The sequence below is a fragment of the Homo sapiens genome, chromosome 20, assembly GCF_000001405.40.
Source record: "Homo sapiens chromosome 20, GRCh38.p14 Primary Assembly".
Classification (NCBI taxonomy): domain Eukaryota; kingdom Metazoa; phylum Chordata; class Mammalia; order Primates; family Hominidae; genus Homo; species Homo sapiens.
In genome coordinates this window covers 32,274,177-32,295,915 of record NC_000020.11, presented here as the reverse complement: position 1 = coordinate 32,295,915, position 21,739 = coordinate 32,274,177, and the positions used below count along the sequence as shown (strand labels likewise).

At 43.9% G+C, this 21,739-nt stretch overlaps 1 protein-coding gene and 1 long non-coding RNA gene across 3 annotated transcripts in view, besides 5 other annotated features; one reads left to right on the top strand and one right to left on the bottom strand.

Moving 5' to 3' along the window:
• Window positions 1-18,265, bottom strand: part of KIF3B (kinesin family member 3B) — a 57,361-nt gene extending 39,096 nt beyond the window's left edge. Inside the window, exon 1 of one of the 2 annotated variants that reach the window (NM_004798.4) lies at window positions 18,151-18,265. The gene's annotated coding sequence lies outside the window, so the exon portion shown is untranslated. Of the gene's footprint in view, window positions 1-14,042; window positions 17,799-18,150 lie in introns of those variants that run through there. The other variant, XM_047440590.1, reaches the window with a different exon arrangement.
• Window positions 17,890-18,069: a silencer, noted in NCBI's record as "silent region_12780". NCBI's record gives its function as "represses an Ori minimal core promoter by ATAC-STARR-seq in GM12878 lymphoblastoid cells {active_cell/tissue: GM12878}" and the evidence as "EXISTENCE:reporter gene assay evidence [ECO:0000049][PMID:35858748]".
• Window positions 17,890-18,413: a biological region, named in NCBI's record as "H3K4me1 hESC enhancer GRCh37_chr20:30865306-30865816".
• Window positions 17,903-18,413: an enhancer, noted in NCBI's record as "H3K4me1 hESC enhancer chr20:30865306-30865816 (GRCh37/hg19 assembly coordinates)". NCBI's record gives its function as "activates a minimal SCP1, AML or CMV promoter by ChIP-STARR-seq in primed H9 embryonic stem cells {active_cell/tissue: H9 hESC(primed)}" and the evidence as "EXISTENCE:reporter gene assay evidence [ECO:0000049][PMID:30033119]".
• Window positions 18,090-18,249: a silencer, noted in NCBI's record as "silent region_12779". NCBI's record gives its function as "represses an Ori minimal core promoter by ATAC-STARR-seq in GM12878 lymphoblastoid cells {active_cell/tissue: GM12878}" and the evidence as "EXISTENCE:reporter gene assay evidence [ECO:0000049][PMID:35858748]".
• LOC124904885 (uncharacterized) lies at window positions 18,373-20,497 on the top strand. Its single transcript, XR_007067561.1, has 2 exons — window positions 18,373-18,612; window positions 20,274-20,497. It is a non-coding gene; the product is annotated as an uncharacterized LOC124904885 (long non-coding RNA).
• Window positions 18,460-18,509: an enhancer, noted in NCBI's record as "active region_17714". NCBI's record gives its function as "activates an Ori minimal core promoter by ATAC-STARR-seq in GM12878 lymphoblastoid cells {active_cell/tissue: GM12878}" and the evidence as "EXISTENCE:reporter gene assay evidence [ECO:0000049][PMID:35858748]".
• Window positions 20,498-21,739: the final 1,242 nt, after the last annotated feature.

Genomic DNA, 21,739 nt, shown 5'->3' with positions numbered 1-21,739 from the left:
TCCAGCCCAGGCGACAGTGCAAGATTCTGTCTCAATTTAAAAAAAAAAAAAAAAAAAAAAAGATAATAAAAATGTTTTAATTGATAAATGAGGGGACCTACTAGGAGACCTAAATTCGGGACCTACTTATCCTAAATTTATGATGAAGCTTCGTAAAACAGTTTCTATTAGGTCCACAGCACTAGAATTTTTAACTTTCTAAGGTAAATGTAGCAAGTCATGCAGTGACGGCTCTAAAAAGCATTTAGAGCATAGACGTCAAATAAGAAAGTAATGAAATATATTCTGTTGTTATTACAGGCATTATTTGTAAACATAAGGTCAGCCAGGCGTGGTGGCTCACACCTGTAATCCCAGCACTTCGGGAGGCTGAGGCGGGTGGATCACGATCTCAGGAGATCGAGACCATCCTGGCTAACACGGTGAAACCCCGTCTCTACTAAAAATACAAAAAAATTAGCTGGGCATGATGGCGGGCACCTGTAGTCCCAGCTATTCAGGAGGCTGAGGCAGGAGAATGGTGTGAACCCGGGAGGCGGAGCTTGCAGTGAGCTGAGATCGCACCACTGCACTCCAGCCTGGGCGACAGAGCGAGATTCTGTCACAAAAGAAAAAAAAAAGGGGGCGGGGGGCGTCACCTTTTTTGTAAGCCAAACAGTTGCGTGAACTGTCTAAAAAGTTTCAAAATGTCCCTTACAGAAAGAACATATAAGAGCCACAGCATCTCAAATTGGCACAACATACTTGAGGGCAGTCAGGCAATCAGTACCAAAACTCTAAATGTGAATACTCCCTTGAAACAGCAATTCCATTTCTTGGAATTATTTTAAGGACATAATTGAGTAACTAAATACATGTGCAACAATGTAATACACAATTTGTGTTTGTCACATCACCACCTCTAAGCACTTAAATGCTCATCAATAAGGGAGTGGTTAGATTATGGCACATCTCTACAATGGGAAACTATGAAGTCATTAAAAATGGCAACAAACCTCTAGGTATTTAGATATGGGCAATATTCAAGACATATTGCTGAGTGAAGAAAAAGGCTACTAAACAGAATTACTATGATACAGTTAATGTTTATGTGTACAGGCACATGTGCAGATGCAGATTTGGGGAACACAGAGTAAAGACATTGTTAAAAGCATGAGCTGAGGTGTTCAGCAGGTCTGGCTTTGAATTTCTGCTCTGCCATTTACTAGCTATAAAATCTCAAGAAACTAAGTCACAGTTTCTTCTTCCACCAAGTATGGTTAATAGCAATATCTCCCTTAAAGAACTGTTCTGAGGATTAAATAAACTAATGAATGTTAAATGCTTAGCTTTTAACATTGAAAAGTACTAATAAATACTCATGAAATGCAGGTAATATTGACCTCTAGGGTGGTGCGCCTGCAGGCTATTTTTTTGCTTTCTTTGTATTTTTTGATGGGTGCATGTATTTTGATTTTTATAATTAAGGTGGGGGAAGCAATAAAGCAATGTTTTCTTTGGAGAAAAGTCCAGAACTTTGATTTCAGCTTAAATGTCTGAAGAAGACACGCTAGTTCTCCGGAAAGAAACCTAAAAACGTCACAGTCAAGTAACAAGGACAATAAATGCCTGCCCTGAATTCAAACTGGCGCCATGTACTCTCTGTCATTTGATGACACAAAGAGGCAAACAAAGCATTTATTTAGGCAGGGAAAGAAGAAAAGAAACTCTTTTTGGCATTCAATTGTAAAACATAAAATACATTCAAAAATATATTCAAGTCTGTTGGACAACACCTACTATTCAGAATCAATGCAGTTCTTGGGTTTTATTGTATTCAATAGTCACAACTCACAGTATACCAAGAGCTTAATGTGAGTCCTCTTTTAATCCTCAAAATCACCTTGGGAGGAAGGCAGGCATTAGCCTCATTTAAAGAATAAGGATCAGAGACTCAGGGAAATTAATTTGCCCAAGGTTACACGACAATTAAGTGGAAGAGTCAGGATTCAAAACCAGATTTGTCTTATTTTAAAACCCATATATAAACCCATATATTTTTAAAACACCTGATATATACGCATATATACATGTGTATGTCTATGCAAAGATTAACGCAATTCAAGCTGTACAGAGTGTACAGTGAACATGTAAATCTTCCTAACATATCTGCATTGCTCCTTCATCTTCATCTTTTGCTTTTAAACCTTTTTAACTCAAGTAGCAGTATACTATATACCACTGTACTTCTTCCTATATAAATCTTGGAGAACTCCTTCTCCCCGCCCCCCAACTCATTTTGTGTTGTTTTCTTTGTTTGTTTTTTTGAGACAGACTCTTGCTCTGCACTCCAGGCTGGAGTGCAGTGGCATGATGTTGGCTCGCCATAGCCTCAACCTCCTGGGCTCAGGTAGTCTTCCCACCTCAACCTCCTCAGTAGCTGGGACTACAGGTACATGCCACCAAACCTAATTTTGTTTTTATTTTTTGTAGAGACAAATGTCTCACTATGTTGCCCAGGCTGGTCCCCAGGCTGGTCTCAAACTCCTGGCTCAAGTGATCCTTCCGTCTCTCAGCCTCCCAAAGTATGGGATTACAGGCATCAGACACCATGCTTAGCTGCTTCTTTTTCCTTTCTTTTCTGTCTTACTTCCTTTCATTCATTCATTCATTCACTCATTTATTTTGAGACAGAGTCTCAGTTGCCCAGGCTGGAGTGCAGTGGCACAATCACAGCTCACTGCAACGTCAACCTCCTGGGGTCAAGCAATCTTCCCACCTCAGACTCCCAAGTACCTGGGACTATAAGCACACCCCACCACATCCAACTAATTTTTTATTTTTTGTAGAGACGGGGTTTTGCCATGTTGGCCAGGCTGGTCTTGAACTCCTGACCTCAGGTGTTCCGCCTGCCTTGGCCTCCCAAAGTGCTGGGATTACAGTCATGAGCCACTGCGCCCAGCCAAAAAATGTCTTTGATCAGTCAGTCCCTTATTGAGGGACCTTCTGATGGTCTCTGGTCATTTGCTACTGCAAACAGTACTGCAGTGGCTATACTGAACATATATACCTTTAGGGTAAGTGGGAGTAGTTGGTAGGATCCACTCCCAGAGGTAGGACTGTTGTACACATTCTATTGTTTTTTAAGAGTCAAGGTCTTCACATTCTGTTGTTTTTCAAGAGCCAAGGTCTTGCTCTGTTGCCCAGGCTGGAGTGCAGTGGCAGAATCTCAGCTTACTGCAGCCTCGAACTCCTCGCTCAAGCAATCGTCCCACCTCAGCCTCCAGAGTAGCTGGGACTACAGGCGTGCGCCACTGGACCCGACTTTTCTTTTTTTTTTTTTTTTTTTTTTTCTATTTTTAGTAGAGACGAGGTTTCACCGTGTTGGCCAGGCTGGTCTCAAACACCTGACCTCAAGTGATCCACCCACCTCAGCCTCCCAAAGTGCTAGGATTACAGGCATGAGCCACCATGCCTGGACTAATTTTTAAAATTGTTTGTAGAAGTTGGGGGGGGTCTTGCTTTGTTGCACAGGCTGGTCTCAAACTCTTGGCTTCATGTGATTCTCCCACTTAGGCCTCCCAAACTGCTGGTATTACAGGTCCATCATGTAATACCAGCCACCATGGTGAGCCACTACGTCCAGCTCCTTTTTTGATCTTGATTCAAACAAACCAACTGTTAAGAAATGTACAAGGACCAAGCTAGGTGGTTCACCACCCATAATCCCAGCACTTTGGGAGGCTGAGGTGGGAGGATCACTTGAGCCTAGGAGTTCAAGACCAGCTTGGACAAGATGGCAAGATCCTGTCTCTACAAAAAAATTTTTAAAAATTAGCCAGGTGCGGTGGTATATGCCTGTGGCCCCAGCTACTCAGGAGGCTAAGTTGGGAGGATCACTTGAGCCCAGGAGTTTGCTTGAGCCGCCTAAGAGTTTGAGGCAGCAGTGAGCTCTGACTACACCACTGCACTCAAGCCTGGGTGATACAGTGAGACCCTGTCTCAAGAAAAAAAAAATGAGGCGAGGCGCGGTGGCTCACACCTGTAATCCCAGCACTTTGGGAGGCCGAGGAGGGTGCATCACTCGAGGTCAGGAGTTCAAGACCAGCCTAGCTAACATGGTGAAACCCTGTCTCTACTAAAAATATAAAAATTAGTTGGGTGTGGTGCATGCATGTCTGTAATCCCAGCTACTTGGGAGGCTGAGGCAGGAGAATTGCTTGAACCCGGGAGGCAGAGATTGCAGTGGGCCTAGATCGCACCACTGCACTCCAGCCCGGGTGACAGAGCGAGACTCTGTCTCAAAAAAAAAAAAAAAATGTATAAGACAATCAAGGAAATTGGAACACTGGATATGAGACAATGTAAGAAATTATTTTTACGTGTAAAAAAATGTTATTATTTTAAAAAGAAAGTTCTTATCCTCTAGAGGTAAACAAGAATATTTTCAGATAAAGTTATATGCCATCTGGGATCTTTTTCAGGGGTGGGGTGCATGGAAGGTTATAGGTAAAATAGGATTGCCAAGTGCTGAGAACTGCTGGAGGTGGGTAATGGGTTCATGATTCATTACATTATTCTAGTTTTATGCATAATTGGGATTTTCCAAATGAAAAAAAAATCACCCTCTAACCAATGGCTTATCATTTAAAATTTTTTTAAAATTACAGTAAAAAACCCCACATAATATAAAATTTACCCTCTTAATCATTTTAAGTGTATAGTTCAGTAGTGTTAACTATATTCACATTGTTGTATAACACATTTCTAGAACTTTTTCATCTTGCAAAGCTGAAACTTTATAACCACTGAACAATTCCCCATTTCCCCCTCTCCTTAGCCCCTGGTAACCATGTTTCCATGATTTTGTCTACTCTAGCTACCTCGGATAAGTGGAATCATAACAGTATTTGTCCTTTTGTGACTGGCTTATTTCACTCAGCACAATGCCCTCAAGGTTCATCAATACTAAAGCATGTGTCAGAACTTCCTTCTTTTTTAAGGCTGAATAATATTCCATTCCATGTATGCACTATATATATTTTCTTTTTTTTTTTTTTGAGACACAGTCTTGCTGACACCCAGGCTGGAGTGCAGTGGTGCAATCACAGCTCACTGCATCCTTGAACTCCTAGGCTCAAGCAATCCTCCCACCTCAGCCTTTTGAGTAGCTGAGACTACAGGTACATGCCACCATACTGAGCTAATTTATTATTATTATTATTTGTTATAGAAACAAGGTCTCACTATATTGCCCAGGCTGGTCTGGAACTCCTGGGTTCAAGCAATCCTTCCGCCTTGGCCTCCCAAAGTGCTGGGATTACAGGCGTGAGCCATCGCGCCTGGCCTGTACCACATATTCTTTATCCATTTATCTGTTAACGGACATTTGGGCTGCTTCTACCTCTTGGCTATTGTGAATAATGCTATGGGCAGAGGGCCATAGCAAAACCTGTATTTAACAGGCAGAGGTAGCCTGAATAGCCAAAAAGAGATTCAGACACACCTGGGACTGAAACCCAGCTCTATCATTCCTAGTTTTGTTTGTTTGTTTTTGAGATGGAGTCTTGCTGTCACCCAGGCTGCAGTGTAGTGGCGTGATCTCGGCTCACTGCAACTTCCACCTCCCAGGTTCAAGGGATTCTCCTGCCTCAGCTTCCCAAGCAGCTGGGATTACAGGCGCCTGCCACCACGCACGGCTAACTTTTGTATTTTTAGTAGAGCGTGGGTTTCACTATGTTGGCCAGGCTGGTCTCGAATTCCTGACCTCAGGTGTTCTACCTGCCTCGGCCTCCTAAAGTGCTGGGAGCCACTGTGCCCAGCCTATCATTCGTAGTTCTGAGGCTCTGTGAAAGTTTCTTACCCCTCGGAGCTGATTTCCTCATCTGTAAAATGGGAATATCACTAACACCTGCTGCTTGGGGCCGTGTGAGGACTAGAAGAAGACAGGCAGCAAGCGTCTGGCCCACAAGTGGTAACTCTGCCCTGACCCAATTTGCAGGAGAAAAAAAACAGAGACTTAGACAGGGAAGTAACATGGCACACTGAGTTAATAAGTGGCAAAGCAAGCTGAAACCAGGTCCATCTGGCTCCAAAGTCCATGGCCTTTCTTCCACACCAGCATGTCCTAAATGTCAATAATCCGATTGTTTCTGGACAATTTTCGCCATGTCTATCATCACCTGTACTATTATTTACTTAACGTTTTTTCTTTAAATCTACTTTGCTTAACACAAAGTTTATTTTAAAAAGAAACTTTATATAACCACCATGAATGGAAAATCAGTATCACTTGTTATAAATAGAAAGTAACTGTGAAAATAAATATAAGAACAGACAACAATGTTACTAAATTCTAGCTAAATACTGTAGCTTATCTGAGGCCTTAAGCTTGATCACCATTGGTTTGAAAGGGAGCTTAATAAGTGTTAAGAAATAGACTAGTGGCCGAGCATGGTGGCTCCCGCCTGTAGTCCCAGCCCTTTGGGAGGCCAAGGCAGGTGGATCACAAGGTCAGGTGTTCAAGACCAGCATGGCTAAGATGGTGAAACCCCGTCTTTACTAAAAATACAAAAATTAGCCGGGCATGGTGGCAGGCACCTGTAATCCCAGCTACTCAGGAGGCTGAGGCAGAGAACTGCTTGAACCCAGGAGGCAGAGGTTGCAGTGAGCTGAGATCGTGCCACTGCACTCCAGCCTGGGTGACTGAGACTCCATTTCAAAAAAAAAAAAAAAAAAACCAGACCAGTACCAAACAAATACAGTATTCTTGACACAGTCAGAAGAACCAAGAGAGAGTTTTAAAGGGAATAGCTCTCACCACTACATTCAACATAATTTTGGATGTTGTGTTTGACTGTTACCCAAACTCTCCTCCTATTCCACCTGGTTCAGCTCTGCAGAATATAAGGACCCACTCAGAACCCCGGATCAGAATCTTGTCTTATCAAGATTCATGCCTACGCATGCTACCTTTATAGTAAACAGTTTCCAAAGTTGATCCAACAGAATTTCCCATAAATCATAGGATTTATTTTATTAATATGATGAGTTAAATGCTTTTTGAAAAATCCCTCTTCAAAAGTCCATCAGAACTGTCTTGGCTCATTGTCCAATGTTATAATGATATGCTTGCTCTCACAGTTCATACAGTGCACATCACTTGAACCCAGGAGGCGGAGGTTGCAGTGAGCTGAGGCGACAGAGTGAGACTCCAATGCTGTACATAAAATGTTTCCAGTTAATGTTGCCAATAAACAGCCTATTCAGAGAACGAAGGGTTGAAATGACAAAGGCCTATGTTCTGGGTCCTACTCACAGGGAATTCTTCATCAGAAAGAAAAATGGATAAAGAGAAGACTAAAAAGAAGGTGAGAAAAACTACTACATCAAAAAAATACTTCATCATATGTAAAATATATCTAAATAAAGTTCATTTTTTGTTTGTTTGGAGACAGGATCTCATTCACTGTGTCACCCAGGCTGGAATGCAGTAGCGCAATCATGGCTCACTGTAGCCTTGAACTCCTGGGCTTGAACTTGCCTCAGCTTCCCGAGTAGTTGGGAGTACAGGTGCAAGCCACTGCACCCGGGTAAATTTTCATATGTTTTGTATAGATGGGGTCTCACTATGCTGCCCAGGCTGGTCTCAAACTTCTGGCCTCAAGCAATCTTCCCACTTAGGCCTCCCAAAGTGCTGGGATTACAGGAATGAGCCACCACATCCAGCTAAATCTGTTTTTTAAAGATACTTTTAGGCCAGGCACGGTGGCTCACGCCTGTAATCCCAGCACTTTGGGAGGCCGAGATGGGCAGATCTCAAGGTCAGGGGTTCAAGACCAGCCTGACCAACATGGTGAAACCCTATCTCTACTAAAAATACCAAAATCAGCTGGGCGTGGTGGTGTGCACCTGTAATCCCAGGTACTCAGGAGGCTGAGGCAGGAGAATCACTTGAACCCAGGAGGCGGAGGTTGCAGTGAGCTGAGACTGCACCACTGCACTCCAGCCTAGGCGACAGAGTGAGACTCCATCTGAAAAAAAAAAAAAAAAAAAAAAAAAAAAGATACTTTTAGAGGATCCTAAGAAGGGAAATGGACAGTTCTCTGTTAGAATTTTTTAAAGTTCAAACTTTTCACAAACCACTTATTTAGAATTGTTCTCTTAAGAGGCTGAGAGAGAAGGAGATATTCTGTATAACACATTATATGTGATTATAAAAAGGTGGAAACAACTTCAATGCTCAATGCCAGGGAAAGTGTAGTAGTTACTACTAAACTACTAACATGTAGTAATAACTACTAAACACAAAAACACAGCAAGGCGTAGTGGCTCACACTTGTAGTCTCAGCACTTTGGGAGGCTGAGTCAGGAGCATTGCTTGAGGCCAGGAGTTGAGACCAGCCTGAGCAACATAGTGAGATCCTGCCTCCATGAAAAATTTAAAAATTAGCCACAAGTGGTGGCACGCACCTGTGGCCCTGGCTGCTTAGGAAGCTGAGGTGGAAGGACCACTTGAGCCCAGGAGCTGGAGGTTACGGTGAGCTATGATCATGCCACAGTATTCCAGCCTGGGCAACGGAGCGACACCCTATCTCAAAAATAAACAAATAAAAAAAATAGATTGGGCCTGGTGGCTCACACTTGTAATCTGAGCACTTTGGGAGGCCAAGGCAGGAGGATCGCTTGAGCCTAGGAGTTTGAGACCAGCCTGAGCAACATAGTGAGACCCTGTTTCTACAAAAATAAAATGAAACAAAAATTGAAATAAATAAGTACAAAAATATGGAAAAATGGTTATGAAATAATGTTAAGCAAACATTTCCAAATAGAAAATGGGAAATATGCTTTGAATACAACTTTCTAAAAATATACTTGCAAGTAGTCAAGTAAGCTAAAACCTGAGTTAGGATACCATCACCATGGGTAAATTCCCCAACCAAATTGTAATTCTGTCTGTCTTTTCAGCTTTAGGTTAACACTGCCATGTTAAAAACATTATTTAAGGGGGGTTGCCTTTGTAATTTAAAATTTTTAACATTAAAGGACCTAGTTTAAAGAAATCATCAGCAGTGCAGACAAAGGTTTACACAAAATAATCATCATTAAGATGTTCTCTGAAGCATTACTCATAATGTTTAAATGTTGAAAATGGCCTAAATAACAACAATGGAGGAAACAGGTGAGAACTGCAAGCCTATGAGATAAAATGTATTTAGGAATACATTTGTATATGGACAGTAAAATGTTAACAGTAGTTATTTCTCAGTGGTGGATCTTAAAGTCAGCCTTATTTAATCTGTTCAGTATTTTCCTCATTTTTTTACTCAATGGAAGTTTATTATTTTTATAATCGGAAAAAATTATATATTTTTAAAAGGCTGACAATTGAAGAATAAGGAAAAACATTACATATATTTCTTAGGCCAGAGTCTAACTTATTATTGCAGATCTTGCAAAACCAGTAACTACTTCCACCAAGGACTATCTTCTTGTGGTTATCTTTAGGTAACTTGAACTGATATTTTATCTTACCTAGATGGAATCTTTTATGATTTGCCAGCTAGATTTTTTGCTTATGTTCTGAAATGTGTTACAAAGTAATGATTACTGTAGTCTGCTAAGCTGCTAGAGATTGTGCTATGAGCTTTTAGTTTCTGTTTAATTTATGTCACACACAAAAGGCCAAGCAAGCCCTTCCTGAAAGCACTGCTGAAGGTGATATGAAGGACTCCAGAGTGGTTAAGTCCCAAGCTCCCAATAATCTATGGCAATTTCTATTTCACTTGAACCCATTTCCATTTATAGACTATATTCAAGCATGACAAAATGCAAGTGCTGCAAATGTCTTGCCAAAAACTTTAAAAATAAAAGCCACACCCACCATGATTATCACTGGTTCCCTCTCTAATGCAAATTATGAGTTAAATAAATCAGCATGCTAAAGATAGATCTTCCTGTGTGAAGAGCTCAATGTCCGCAATCAGTGTGACAAAGTGAGAAGACACAATGTGTCACCATGATTAACTGAACCTTAAACATGAACATCCCAAGCTGCTGTGCAGATGTGTGATGCTGATAAGATGAGCTGATTGTAATGCTCTCTGACTGCCAAGAAATACGCTCTAAAAGCCACACCCGAAAGGTCTGGGAGAAAGCTCAGTATGAAGTCACCAAGAAAGAACAAAATATCACCCAACTCAAGGTTCAGTCTTGTGGGCAGGGCTGGAAGGGCTTTGGGAAGAACTGTCCTATATCTTTATTTTACATATATATATGTATGCGCAAGACAGAGGCCTAGAGAGGTTGAGTCACTTGCTCCAAGTCACACAGCAAGTAGCAGAATTGATAGAATCCTGCCTTTACCCAGTTCCCACCATCCTTTCAGGTCAAAATTTCCTATAATGGCATAGTCCTCGACCAATATATCTTTCTGAGAGTCTAGAAAGACAGGAGGTGTTGAAAGGAAAATAATGAGCCCACAGGGCAGAGAGAGAAAACTGAGGCACAGTGAGATGGAATGTTTTAACAATTAGTTGGCAGGTGTTATATGGGACTTTATCCACTATCTTCTCACCCAGTGTAGATATTTATCACCAGAATCAAGAAACAGCTTAGAGCTAAATGACTCAGAATACAAGCTCACAGTTCCTACCTGCTTCAGCTGTTCGGACCCTGAAGTTAGATCACTAAGAAGTGTGAGAGGTAGCTTATCTGACCAAATGAGATATCTGTTTGCGGCCTCATCAGTCAAGTAACTGACACCCATCTAGCTCAGAAGTTTTTCCCTTGATTTTCTCAAACATTCTTTCAAGTCACTGTTTTTTTTTTTTTTTTTGGTCATCATTTAAAATTAGTTATGCAGGTATGGAAGAGAAAGGCCTTTGACAAGACAGCTAAGATGTGGTCACTGCCCACCTGAAAAACAGATGAACACGCGAATGAATGGTAGAAAGAGCAATAGACTTGGAGTCAGCAGATGTCAGGAAGTTACTGAACTTTTCTGAGCCTCTACTTTCCTCTTCTGGAAATCTGTGTTACAGGATTGGTGTGAGGTCTAAATCTAAATGAAACAACATGTGTAAAGTGCTTACAACAGTGCTTGGCTAATGTATCTTAGCTACGACTATTACCTTCATTGTCATTATCATTGGTAAGTCTTAGTTTTGCTACTGATTACCTAGGTGAGAGCATCTCAAACTTTTAATGTGCACAGGAAACATCCGGGATCTTGGTAAAAGGCAGGCTCTGATTTATTAGATCTGGGCCTTGTTATTGTTGTTGTTTTCTTCTTCTTCTTCTGTTTTTAAAAATACAGAGGAGGTCTCACTGTTTTGCCCAGGTTGGTCTCGGACTCCTGGCCTCCAGTGATCCTCCTGCCTTGACCTCCCAAAGTGCTGGGATTACAAGCGTGAGCCACTACACCCAGCCTAGATTCTGCATTTCTGACAAGGTCCTGGGGACATGGTACATCTGTCACAGAGAACACACTTTGAGCAGCAAGGATCTCCCTAACTCAGCACCTAGAAAATGCTCAATATTACTGACAAAAACAAGTGACCTCTCCACACCACAATGTCTTCATTTGTAAACCAGGGATAATATGTAGTCCAGATGATCTCAACTGATTGACAATTAGTAAATGAGAATGCACAGGAAAGAGCGTTCTAAACTGCAAAGTTATACAAATAGCAGTGGTGGCCAGGTGCTGTGGCTCATGCCTGTAATCCCAGCACTTTGGGAGGCTGAGGCAGGAAGATTGCTTGAAGCCAGGAGTTTGAGACTAGCCTGTAACATAGCAAGACCCCATCTCTACAAAAAATAAAAATTAAAAACAAAAATTTTTTTTTTTTAATTAGCTGGGTGTAGTGGCATGCACCTGTAGTCTCAGCTACTTGGATGGCTGACGTGGGAGGATCGCTTGAGCCCAGGAGTTGGAGGTTACAATGAGCTATGACTGCACCACTGCACTCCAGCCTGGGCAACAGAGTGAGACCAAGTTTTCTAAAAAAATTAGCGGCTCATGCCTGTAATCCCAGCACTTTGAGAGGCCAAGGTGAGTGGATCACTTGTGGCCAAGACGCCTGGACAATACAGTAAGACCCGTCTCTACAAATTTCTTTTTTTTGAGATGGAGTCTCACTCTGTCACCCAGGCTGGAGTGAAGTGGTACAATCTCAGCTCACTGCAACCTCCGCTTCCTAGGTTCAAGCGATTCTCCCGCCTCAGCCTCCGAAGTAGCTGGGACTACAAGCATGCACCACCACACCCGACTAATTTTTGTATTTTCAGTAGAGATGGGGTTTCCCCATGTTGGCCAGGCTGGTCTTAAACTCCTGATCTCAGGTGATCCACGTGCCTCAGCCTCCCAAAGTGCTGAGATTACAGGTGTGAGTCACCATGCCTAGCCATCTACAGAATTTTTTTTTTTTTTGAGACGGAGTCTCACTCTGTCGCCCAGGCTGGAGTGCAGTGGTGCGATCTCAGCTCACTGCAACCACCACCTCCCGGGTTCAAGCGATTCTCCTGCCTCAGCCTCCTGAGTAGCTGGGATTACAGGTGCGCACCACCACGCCCAGCTAATTTTTGTATTCTTAGTAAAGAAGGGGTTTCACCATGTTGGTCAGGCTGGTCTCAAACTCCTGACCTCGTGATCTGCACACCTCAGCCTCCCAAAGTGCTGGGATTACAGGCATAAGCCACCACACCCGTCCCCAAAACATTTTTTTTTAAATTAGCCAGGCACGACAGTACATGCCTGCGGTCCCAGCCACTCAAGAGACTGAGGTAGAAGGATCACTTGAGCCCAGGAGTTCAAGGCTGTGGGGGAGCCATGATCACACCACTGCATTCCAACCTGGGTGACAGAGGGAGTCCCTGTCTCCAAAATGAATAAATTTATTAAATTTAATTAAATAAACAAGTGGCAGTGATAAGACTATTAGTTTTACTATTCACAATGTTGAATGTACAACCCTGTAATGCCCAGATTTACAAGTACAGTTACTGGAATACATAACAATGAAGCTCGAATTCCCTTGCTCAGAAGAGATTCAAGAATCCTCTAGGAATTCTGGTAGAGTACAATAGGTTTTCCAGGGATTCTGAAGTCAAAAGCTCTGAAACTTCAGAACTGTCATTTGGTGACCAGGAAAGAACCACTTTGGCAGGGAGAATGTGGCCATTTGGCACACCAAGTGAACTTCACTAGTGATTCCGCTCCCTCTTCCAGAGCTGGCCAGGCTCCCTCAGCCAAGATCCCGAGTCAGCACTGCAATGCCAACAGCACAAGACAGAAAGACAGATGGGTACTGCCCTGGCAAAGCCCACACCTGCCGCTCCACAGGCTGGCAAAAAGCCAGACTGTAGAAAAGCAGGACTTTTTTTTTTGGTTCACAGTAAGAACGTCAAGCTTCAATCAGTTGCACCTGGCTAGCTTCTGCCAGCATAATCTGGGATTTCCTCCCCACAGACTATAAAGTATGATGCTTATACCTTGTGCCTCTCCTCTACAGGGTTCAAAATAAACTATGAATAATTCTTCCTCATAGGGCCCCTTACCAAAAAGTCCTTTCATCATTTCAGAGGCAGATGGCATCTCTAACATCTACTTAATTGCTCAGGCCAAAAACCCAGGAGTCATCCTTATTCTCTCACCCTCATCCCGCCATCCTGCTGGTTCTACCTCCGAAACACATCCCCAATCCGTCCTCTTACCATCTCCACTGCCACCAACCTAGAAAGCCACTATCTTCTCTCACCTAACCTCTTAACTAGCCTCCTGGCTGCCACTCCTATGCCCTCTAAAATTCACTGCCACAAAGAGGCCAGAGTGATTTTTTTAAAAAACAAAAATAGATCATGCCACGTCCCTTCTCCAGAACCTCCAATGATTTCCACAGCTTTTAGAACAAAATCCCAACTCATTACTCTAGCAGACAAGGTCCTGTATGATCTGAGCGCTCCCTACCACTTCCATCCCCTACATCCACCCACCTCCCCACTCTGCCTTTGACTCACCTGTCCCTGCCATTGTAAGCCTTCTTGCAGTTTCTGGAACTTACCAAGCTTGTTGCCACCTCACAGCCTTTACCCTTGCTCTTCCTTCTGACATGTCTTCAAATGGCTGGCCCGTCCCTGGGAGCAAATCTCAGCAAAAACGTCACCATCCTAGCAAGGCCTTTTCTTTTTCTTTTTGTTTGTTGGGTTTTTTTTCTTTTTGAGATGGAGTCTCGCTCTGTTGCCCAGGCTGGAGTGCAATGGCGCAACCTCGGCTTACTGCAGCCTCTGCTTCCCAGGTTCAAGCAATTCTTGTGCCTCAGCCTCCTGAATAGCTGGGACTACAGGCACGTGCCACCACACCCAGCTAAGTTTTGTATTTTTAATAGAGATGGGATTTCACCCCAGCACTTATTCCTCATCCAAATTCCCTTGTTCATTTACTGCTGTATTTTTCTGTTTGCTGCCAGTAGAATATAAGCTGCATGAGAGCAAGGGACTCTGTACCTTTCTACCATGATATCTCCAGGCTAAAACAGAACTGACACATTCTAGGTGCTCAGGAAATACTGAATAAATACAATCCGGGCAGGATAGTGGTAAGTACACTGAATTTGAAGACAGAAGACTGGATTTCAACGTGAAATGGGCCACTCAATAGCATCATGGCTTCTTGGCTTCCATTCAGATTCCTCGACTATAAAACAGAGATCCTAATCTGCACCTTACCTTCCTTGAAGGGACACAGATAAGATTAAATGAGTAAAAGCATGTGTAAGCAAGTGTAGGCATTTTTGTAAGCCATTAGGCACCTTATTGTTATTGTCAAGTATTGCTACTCTCTGTTACATAAGACGGGGTCTTTCTCAGGGACTTGCGAATTAATGGATGAAAAGGCTTAGGAAGCAATCTGAGGTTTCTAATCCAGGCACCTAACAGAAGTCTAGGGACACAACAAAACAGATTAGAATCAGTGGCTTCACTCTGCAGCCAAGGCAAACATAAGATATGAATTCATTTAAAGATGTCAAATGCAGTAATTTGCAAATTAAGCTCTGAGTTCCTCGAAGGATATGGAGATGGGATTGACCTCCACATCCTCCATGTGCCTAGCATAAGGGGATTTAGCAAATATTTACTGAATTGGATGTTGAGCTACTAAACCTAACGTCCTACCATCAGCTTTCATCTTTCTTTCTTTTTTTTTTTTTTTTTTTTTTTTTTGAGACGGAGTCTTGCTCTGTCGCCCAGGCTGGAGTGCAGTGGCGCAATCTTGGCTCACTGCAAGTTCCACCTCCCCGGTTCACGCCATTCTCCTGCCTCAGCCTCCCGAGTAGCTGGGACTACAGGCGCCCGCCACCATGCCCAGCTAATTTTTTTTTTCTTTTAGTAGAGATGGGGTTTCACTGTGCTAGCCAGGATGGTCTCGATCTCCTGACCTCGTGATCCACCCGTCTTGGCCTCCCAAAGTGCTGGGATTACAGCCGTGAGCCACCATGCCTGGACAGCTTTACCTTTCTTTGCAACCCATTGTGGCACATGATTACAGGTTCCTGGGGCCAACTGTATAAAAATATCAACATTTATATAATGCCATGATGGCTACTGTTTCATGCTTGCAATGACATTATGGTTGACGGACCTGGTATTATCACATACTTTAATTTATTCTTTCACCAACCATACACGGAAAATACAGCACAAGCACCACGTTAAACCCAAATAACGATAGCTAATGTTTACCAAATATGCTGGGCACTTCACATATATTAAGTTCAAATAAATCCTCAGAACAGCCATACATGATAATAAGGCCACAGGTAATAAGGCCTATTACTATCCCCATTTTACAGATGAGGAAACTATACCACCAAGGGGTTCAAAATGAACTATGAATAATTCTTCCTCACAGAGCCCCTTACCAAAAAGTCCTCTCATCATTTCAGAGGTACTGAGCATCATTTCAGAGGTAAAGTAGCACCTCTTTGCTCAGTAGCACACAGCTTGGAAGTGGCAGAGCCAAGATTTTAGTCCAGGTAGTCTGATTGCAAGCTTTTAACCACAACTGCATAACAGCACTGAAAGGGCCTTCAGTATAATCTAGCCTAGTCCCCTCATTTTAATGAGGAGGGAATGAGGGACAGAGAAGCCCTCTTTTAAAGATTCCAGCTCTCAGGCTGGGCACAGTGGCTCATGCCTGTAATCCCAGTCCTTTGGGAGGCCAAGGCAGGCGATCACCTGAGGTCGGGAGTTTGAGACCAGCCTGACCAACATGGAGAAACCCCATCTCTACTAAAAATACAAAATTAGCCGGGCATGGTGGCACATGCCTGTAATCCCAGCTACTTGGGAGGCTGAGGCAGGAGAACTGCTTGAACCAGGGAGGCGGAGGTTGCAGTGAGCTGAGATGGCACCATTGCACTCCAGCCTGGGCAACAACAGCAAAACTCCGTCTCAAAAAAAAAAAAAAAGATTCCAACTATTTTCTGAGATCCTCACTTTGGGTGGTATCTATTTAAATAAAGCTTTACCTGAGATCTTGTTTCCTTGCCTTTTAACTTCTAGCCAGTTAAAAGTAACAAAAGAATACCCCTGTGGCCTTATAATAGCAACTGTTGCAAAATCAGAGGCAACAGTGAATGGGGGATAAAATACAGGATTTACCTAGAAACACGTCCACTTCCATCACTTAATAGATACAAGATTCTTAGGCAATGACTGGGTGTGGTGGCTCACGCATGTAATCCTAGCACTTTGGGAGGCCGAGGCAGGTATATCACTTGAGGCCAGGAGTTCGAGACCAGCCAGGCCAACATGGTGAAACCTTGTCTCTACTAAAACTACAAAAATTAGTGGACGAGGTGGTGAACATCTGTAGTCCCAGCTACTCGGGAGGCTGAGGCAGGAGAATCGCTTGAACACACGAGGCGGAGGTTGCAGTGAGCTGAGATCGCGCCACTGCACTCCAGCCTGGGCAACAGACTAAGACTCTGTCTCAAAAAAAAAAAAAAAAAAAAGGATTCTTAAGCAGGTCCTTCCCTTTACTTTTCTGAACCTCAGTTTCCTCATCGGCAAAATGAGGATGACATCACCAGGCACCTGGCAAAGTCTACATAAAGATTAAATGAAATAATATGCCTGGTAAAGTGCTTCTTAATCATATGCTTGTAAATAGTTATTACTGCTTTAAGCACTTCCCAAAGGACACAAAGATGCCTTTTTTCTTCTGGAAGGGTCAACGAAGCCCAGGTAGAAAATGAGACCATGACCCCAGCTATCTACAAGGGGTTGACCTCAAAGAGTTTCCCAGGACTACTTGTAGAAGTACCTCCCTTGCTCTGAGCAGAATGGAGAAGTAAAACCGGGGTTGGGGGTTGGCATTGCAGTAGGACTACCCATATGAGCTGGCACTCTACACACCTACACCTTACCTGTCCCAAAGTCATCTCCTCCTGGAAGTCTTGCCCTCCTACCCTGGACGCCTCATAATAGCTGGTTGAGCACTTACTATGTGCCAAGCTACTTGACATACCCAGTCTCACTGATTTCCACAGTAGTCTATTACCTCATTTCACAGATAAGGAAAAGAAGACTCAGAGAAATTAACTTGCCCAGGGCCACACAGTTACTAAGTGGAAATGCCACGTCTCTAACTCGCTCAGACTTCAAACTGCCCTCTTGGTCTCCCATCTAGGGTGCCCTAAGAATTCTCCCTCTCCCCATTTAGGGCACTTTCACATACACTTCTCATTATCTTTACCACTCTGAGCAGCAATGTTAGGACCCCATTGAATAAACAGGTCAGCTAAGGCCAGGGAGGTGAAAAGACTTGCCCAAGGTCACACAGCAAGCCCAGCACAGCGCCGAGGTTCGGACCCCAGGCTCTCGCTTCCCCGCCCTCCTCCCAAACTGGGGCCCTGACCACCGCCTCAGGGCCCCCAGGTGGGCTGCGACCCAAGGTGGCCGTGTCTGGGGGTCGGGCCGCGACCCTGCCAGGGGAAGGAGGGGCAAGGCCGTCCGGACTACCAAAGGATGCCTAGGAGGCAGGGCAGAGGATGCTCCGGCTCGCGGGACAGCAAAGCCAGGCAGAGGCGCGGGCGCAGGTCGCAGGGAAAACCCCAGGCGGCCACAGGATTAGCCCTGCTCGGTGGGCGCCCGGCCCCTCCGACTCACCTGAGGCCCGAGCCGAAAGCGGGCGGCGGCGGCGGCGGCGGCGGCGGCGGCGGCGGCGGGGGCGGCGAACCCCTGGCTCAGCCATTCCCCGCTGCCCCGGATGGGGAGAGACAGTGGCCGCTCACTTCCTTAGCAACCTGGCTCGGCGACCCACTTCCTTAGCAACCGGTGTCAATTTCAATAACTTTATTGGCACACGAGCAGAGGACAGGGAAAGCCGGCTGGAGGGGTCTGGGCGGGGCTCAGGTCGGTGCTGGTGTTTAGCGGGGGCCCAACACACCTCGGTCTCCTCACCCACCTAAGCGGGGAGAGTGGCGCACAACGTGGCCTGACTCCATCCTCTGGTATCTCGTGCCTCAGTTTCCCATCTGTAAATGGAACACACGCGATTTCAGCCGCCGTTCAACCTTTCTAAAAGCTTTCACATCCATTATCTGACTGGTGTCTCAAACTGCTACTGAGGTAACTCCCATTTAGGGTGCCCCCAGTGACTCAATACGAACACCTATAGGCACCCTTGTTGTAGCTTTCCTGTCCTTCACCCAATCCAGTCAGTCACAACCGCCCCAGGCAAGGCCAGGCCACGCTCATCTCTAGCCTGCCTGAAATATCTGGTCTGTTTCCATTCTTTTGTCCAGCTCTGTCCGAACAATCCATTTTCCATAAGGTGGCCAGAGTAATTATTTAAAACAGATCATGCGGCCAGGTGCGGTGGCTCCCGCTGTAATCCCAGCACTTTGGGAGGCTGAGGCAGGTGAATCACCTGAGGTCAGGAGTTCGAGACCAGCTTGGCCAACATGGCGAAACCCCGTCTCTAATAAAAATACAAAAAATTAGCCGGGCGTGGTGGCGCATGCCTGTAGTCCCAGCTACTCGGGAGGCTGAGGCAGGAGAATCGCTTGAACCCGGGAGGCAGGGGTTGCAGTGAGAGAGATGGCACCACTGCACTCCAGCCTGGGCGACAACAGCGAAACTCCGTCTCAGATATAAAGATTAAAATAAATAAATAAATAAATAAATAAATAAAACAGATCATGCCACTTTCTGATTAATACTCGATTTAATGGAGTCTCATTGCTCTTAGAATCAAATATGAAGTCCTTATTACTTCCTGCAAAATTCGTTAAAACTCTATTCCAACCACACTGGCCTAGAAGGGCAGGTTCCAACCCCCATGGAACTTACACCTGCTGTTCCCCACTAAATAGAAACTGCATAAGAGCAGTCTTTTATTTGTTCACTCTTGTATCCACCATGCCTGGAACCAAGCTTAGTCAATAGTAGTTGCTGAACAAATATGTTTTGCTCCTTGAATAAATGAATACCTGAGATGGTCTTCTTCATCTGCCTACAACTACTTTTTGCCTGTTGTGGCAGATATTGCTACTTCCTCTCAAAAACGTTATTTCTTCCTGCTCCTGGACACACAACTAGACAGTATTTCCCAGCCTTCCTTACAGTTCAGACCAAGTTCTGGCCAATTAAATGTGATGTGTGCTATTCTCAGGCCTGGCCCATTAAAACTCCCACATAATTTGATTTACACTTTCTCTACAGTGAAGAAGTTTATTTTTAAATAAAATAATAAAGGAAATACCAAAAGAGACTGCACCCAGCCTCTTTTGGTATTTCCTGAAGCTAATAATTGCCTCATTTTTTCCCCCCTTTCATTAGCTTTCTTTGCAGATATTGTTAATTTTTTCCTATGTGGTTAATAAATTAGACAAAATAATCAGCAGTGATTTTTCCAGATGTGTAACATAACAATTCGGCTAGGCATGGTGGCTCATGCCCATAATCCCAGCACCTTGGGAGGCTGAGGCAGGCAGATCACCCTGAGGTCAGGAGTTCAAGACCAGCCTGGCCAACATGGAGAAACCACGTCTCTACTAAAAATACAAAAATCAGCCAGGAGTGGTGGCAGGCACCTGTAATCCCCACTACTTTGGAGGCTGAGGCAGGAGAATTGCTTGAACCTAGGAGGTGGAGGTTGCAGTGACCCGAAATAACCCTATTGCACTCTAGCTTGGGTGACAAGAGCAAAACTCCATCTCACAAAAACAACAACAACTTAAAAAAAAAAAAAAAGTTCATGAGTTCTCTTTTGTTTTTTTCTCCTGAAGGCTTCAGCTCTGATCTGGACCAGTGCTCTCCAGGCCTACTGCACAGCTGTCATACTGAACTTTCCTATATCCTACACCTGGTTGGGATTCCCTGTGCCCTGGACCTTGTGTCTCAAACTTCTAGATTGTGGATTTACTCTGTCATCTCTGTGCAGCACATCTTTCTGTAGATTCCTGAGAAAGGTTGCAAAGAAGCAAATATATTTAGTCCTTGTATGTCTAAATATGCATTTATACTGTTTTCACACTTGATTAATAGTTTAGCAGGGTATAGAAATCTAGGCTGAAGGCCAGGCGCCATGTCTTATGCCTGTAATCCCAGCACTTTGGGAGGTCGAGGCAGGCAGATCACCTGAGGTCAAGTGTTTGAGACCAGCCTGGCCAACATGCTGAAACCTTGTCTCTACTAAAAATACAAAAAAAACATTAGCTGGGCATGGTGGCACATGCCTGTAGTCCCAGCTACTCGGGGAGGCTGAGGCAGGATAATCACTTGAACCCAGGAGGCAGAGGTTGCAGTAAGCCAAGATTGCACCACTGCACTCCAGCCTGAGCGACAGAGGGAGCCTCCATTTCAAAAAAAAAAAAAAAAAAGAAATCTAGGCTGAAAATTATTTCTCTCAGAATTTTTAAAACATTGCATTATTGTTTCTAGTATCCAGATTTAAGACATCTAATGCCATTCTTAATCCTGTTGCTTTATATGTGTCTTGTTCTTTTTTTATTTTTAATCTTTGAAAACTTTTAGGCTATCATCTTTATCCATAATGTTGTATTTGATGATGACTCCCCTCAGTGAGGCTTTTCCTCACTTGTGTTAGCTGGGCCTTTTCAATCTGGAGACTTATATCCCTCTAATCTAGGAAATTTTCTTGTATTATTTTTTCGATAATTTTCTCCCCTCCTATTTTTTTTTCCCCTGAAACAGTGTTGTGCTATGTTGCACAGGCTGGAATGCAGTGGCATGATCATGGCTCACTGCAGCTTCAAGTGATCCTGCCACCTCAGCCTCCCGAGTAGCTAGGACTACAGGTGCATACCACCATGCCTGAGTAATTTTTCTATTTTTTGTAGAAATGGGGTCTCACTGTGTTGCCCAGCTGGTCTCAAACTCCTGGGCTCAAGCAATCCCCCTGCCTCGGCCTCCCAAACTGTTGGGACTACAGGAATGAGACACCAGACTTGGCTCTCCCCTCCATTTTTTTCTCTTTCTGGAATTTCTCTTAGTCAGAAGTTATACTTTCCAAACTGAGTTTCTAATTTTCTCTGTTTTTCTCTTATTGTCCCTCTTTTTGGCTCTTTTGTTCTACTCTGTGGGAGATTTCCATCCATATCTTTATTTTTAGTGTCTATCTCTTCTATGGAAGAATCTGGGCTCACCTTTTAGTCATCAAATCAATATTCCCTGCAGACATTTGGGTCATAACTTCCTCCCCCTGTTAAGTCAGTTACTACTTCCCCTTCTG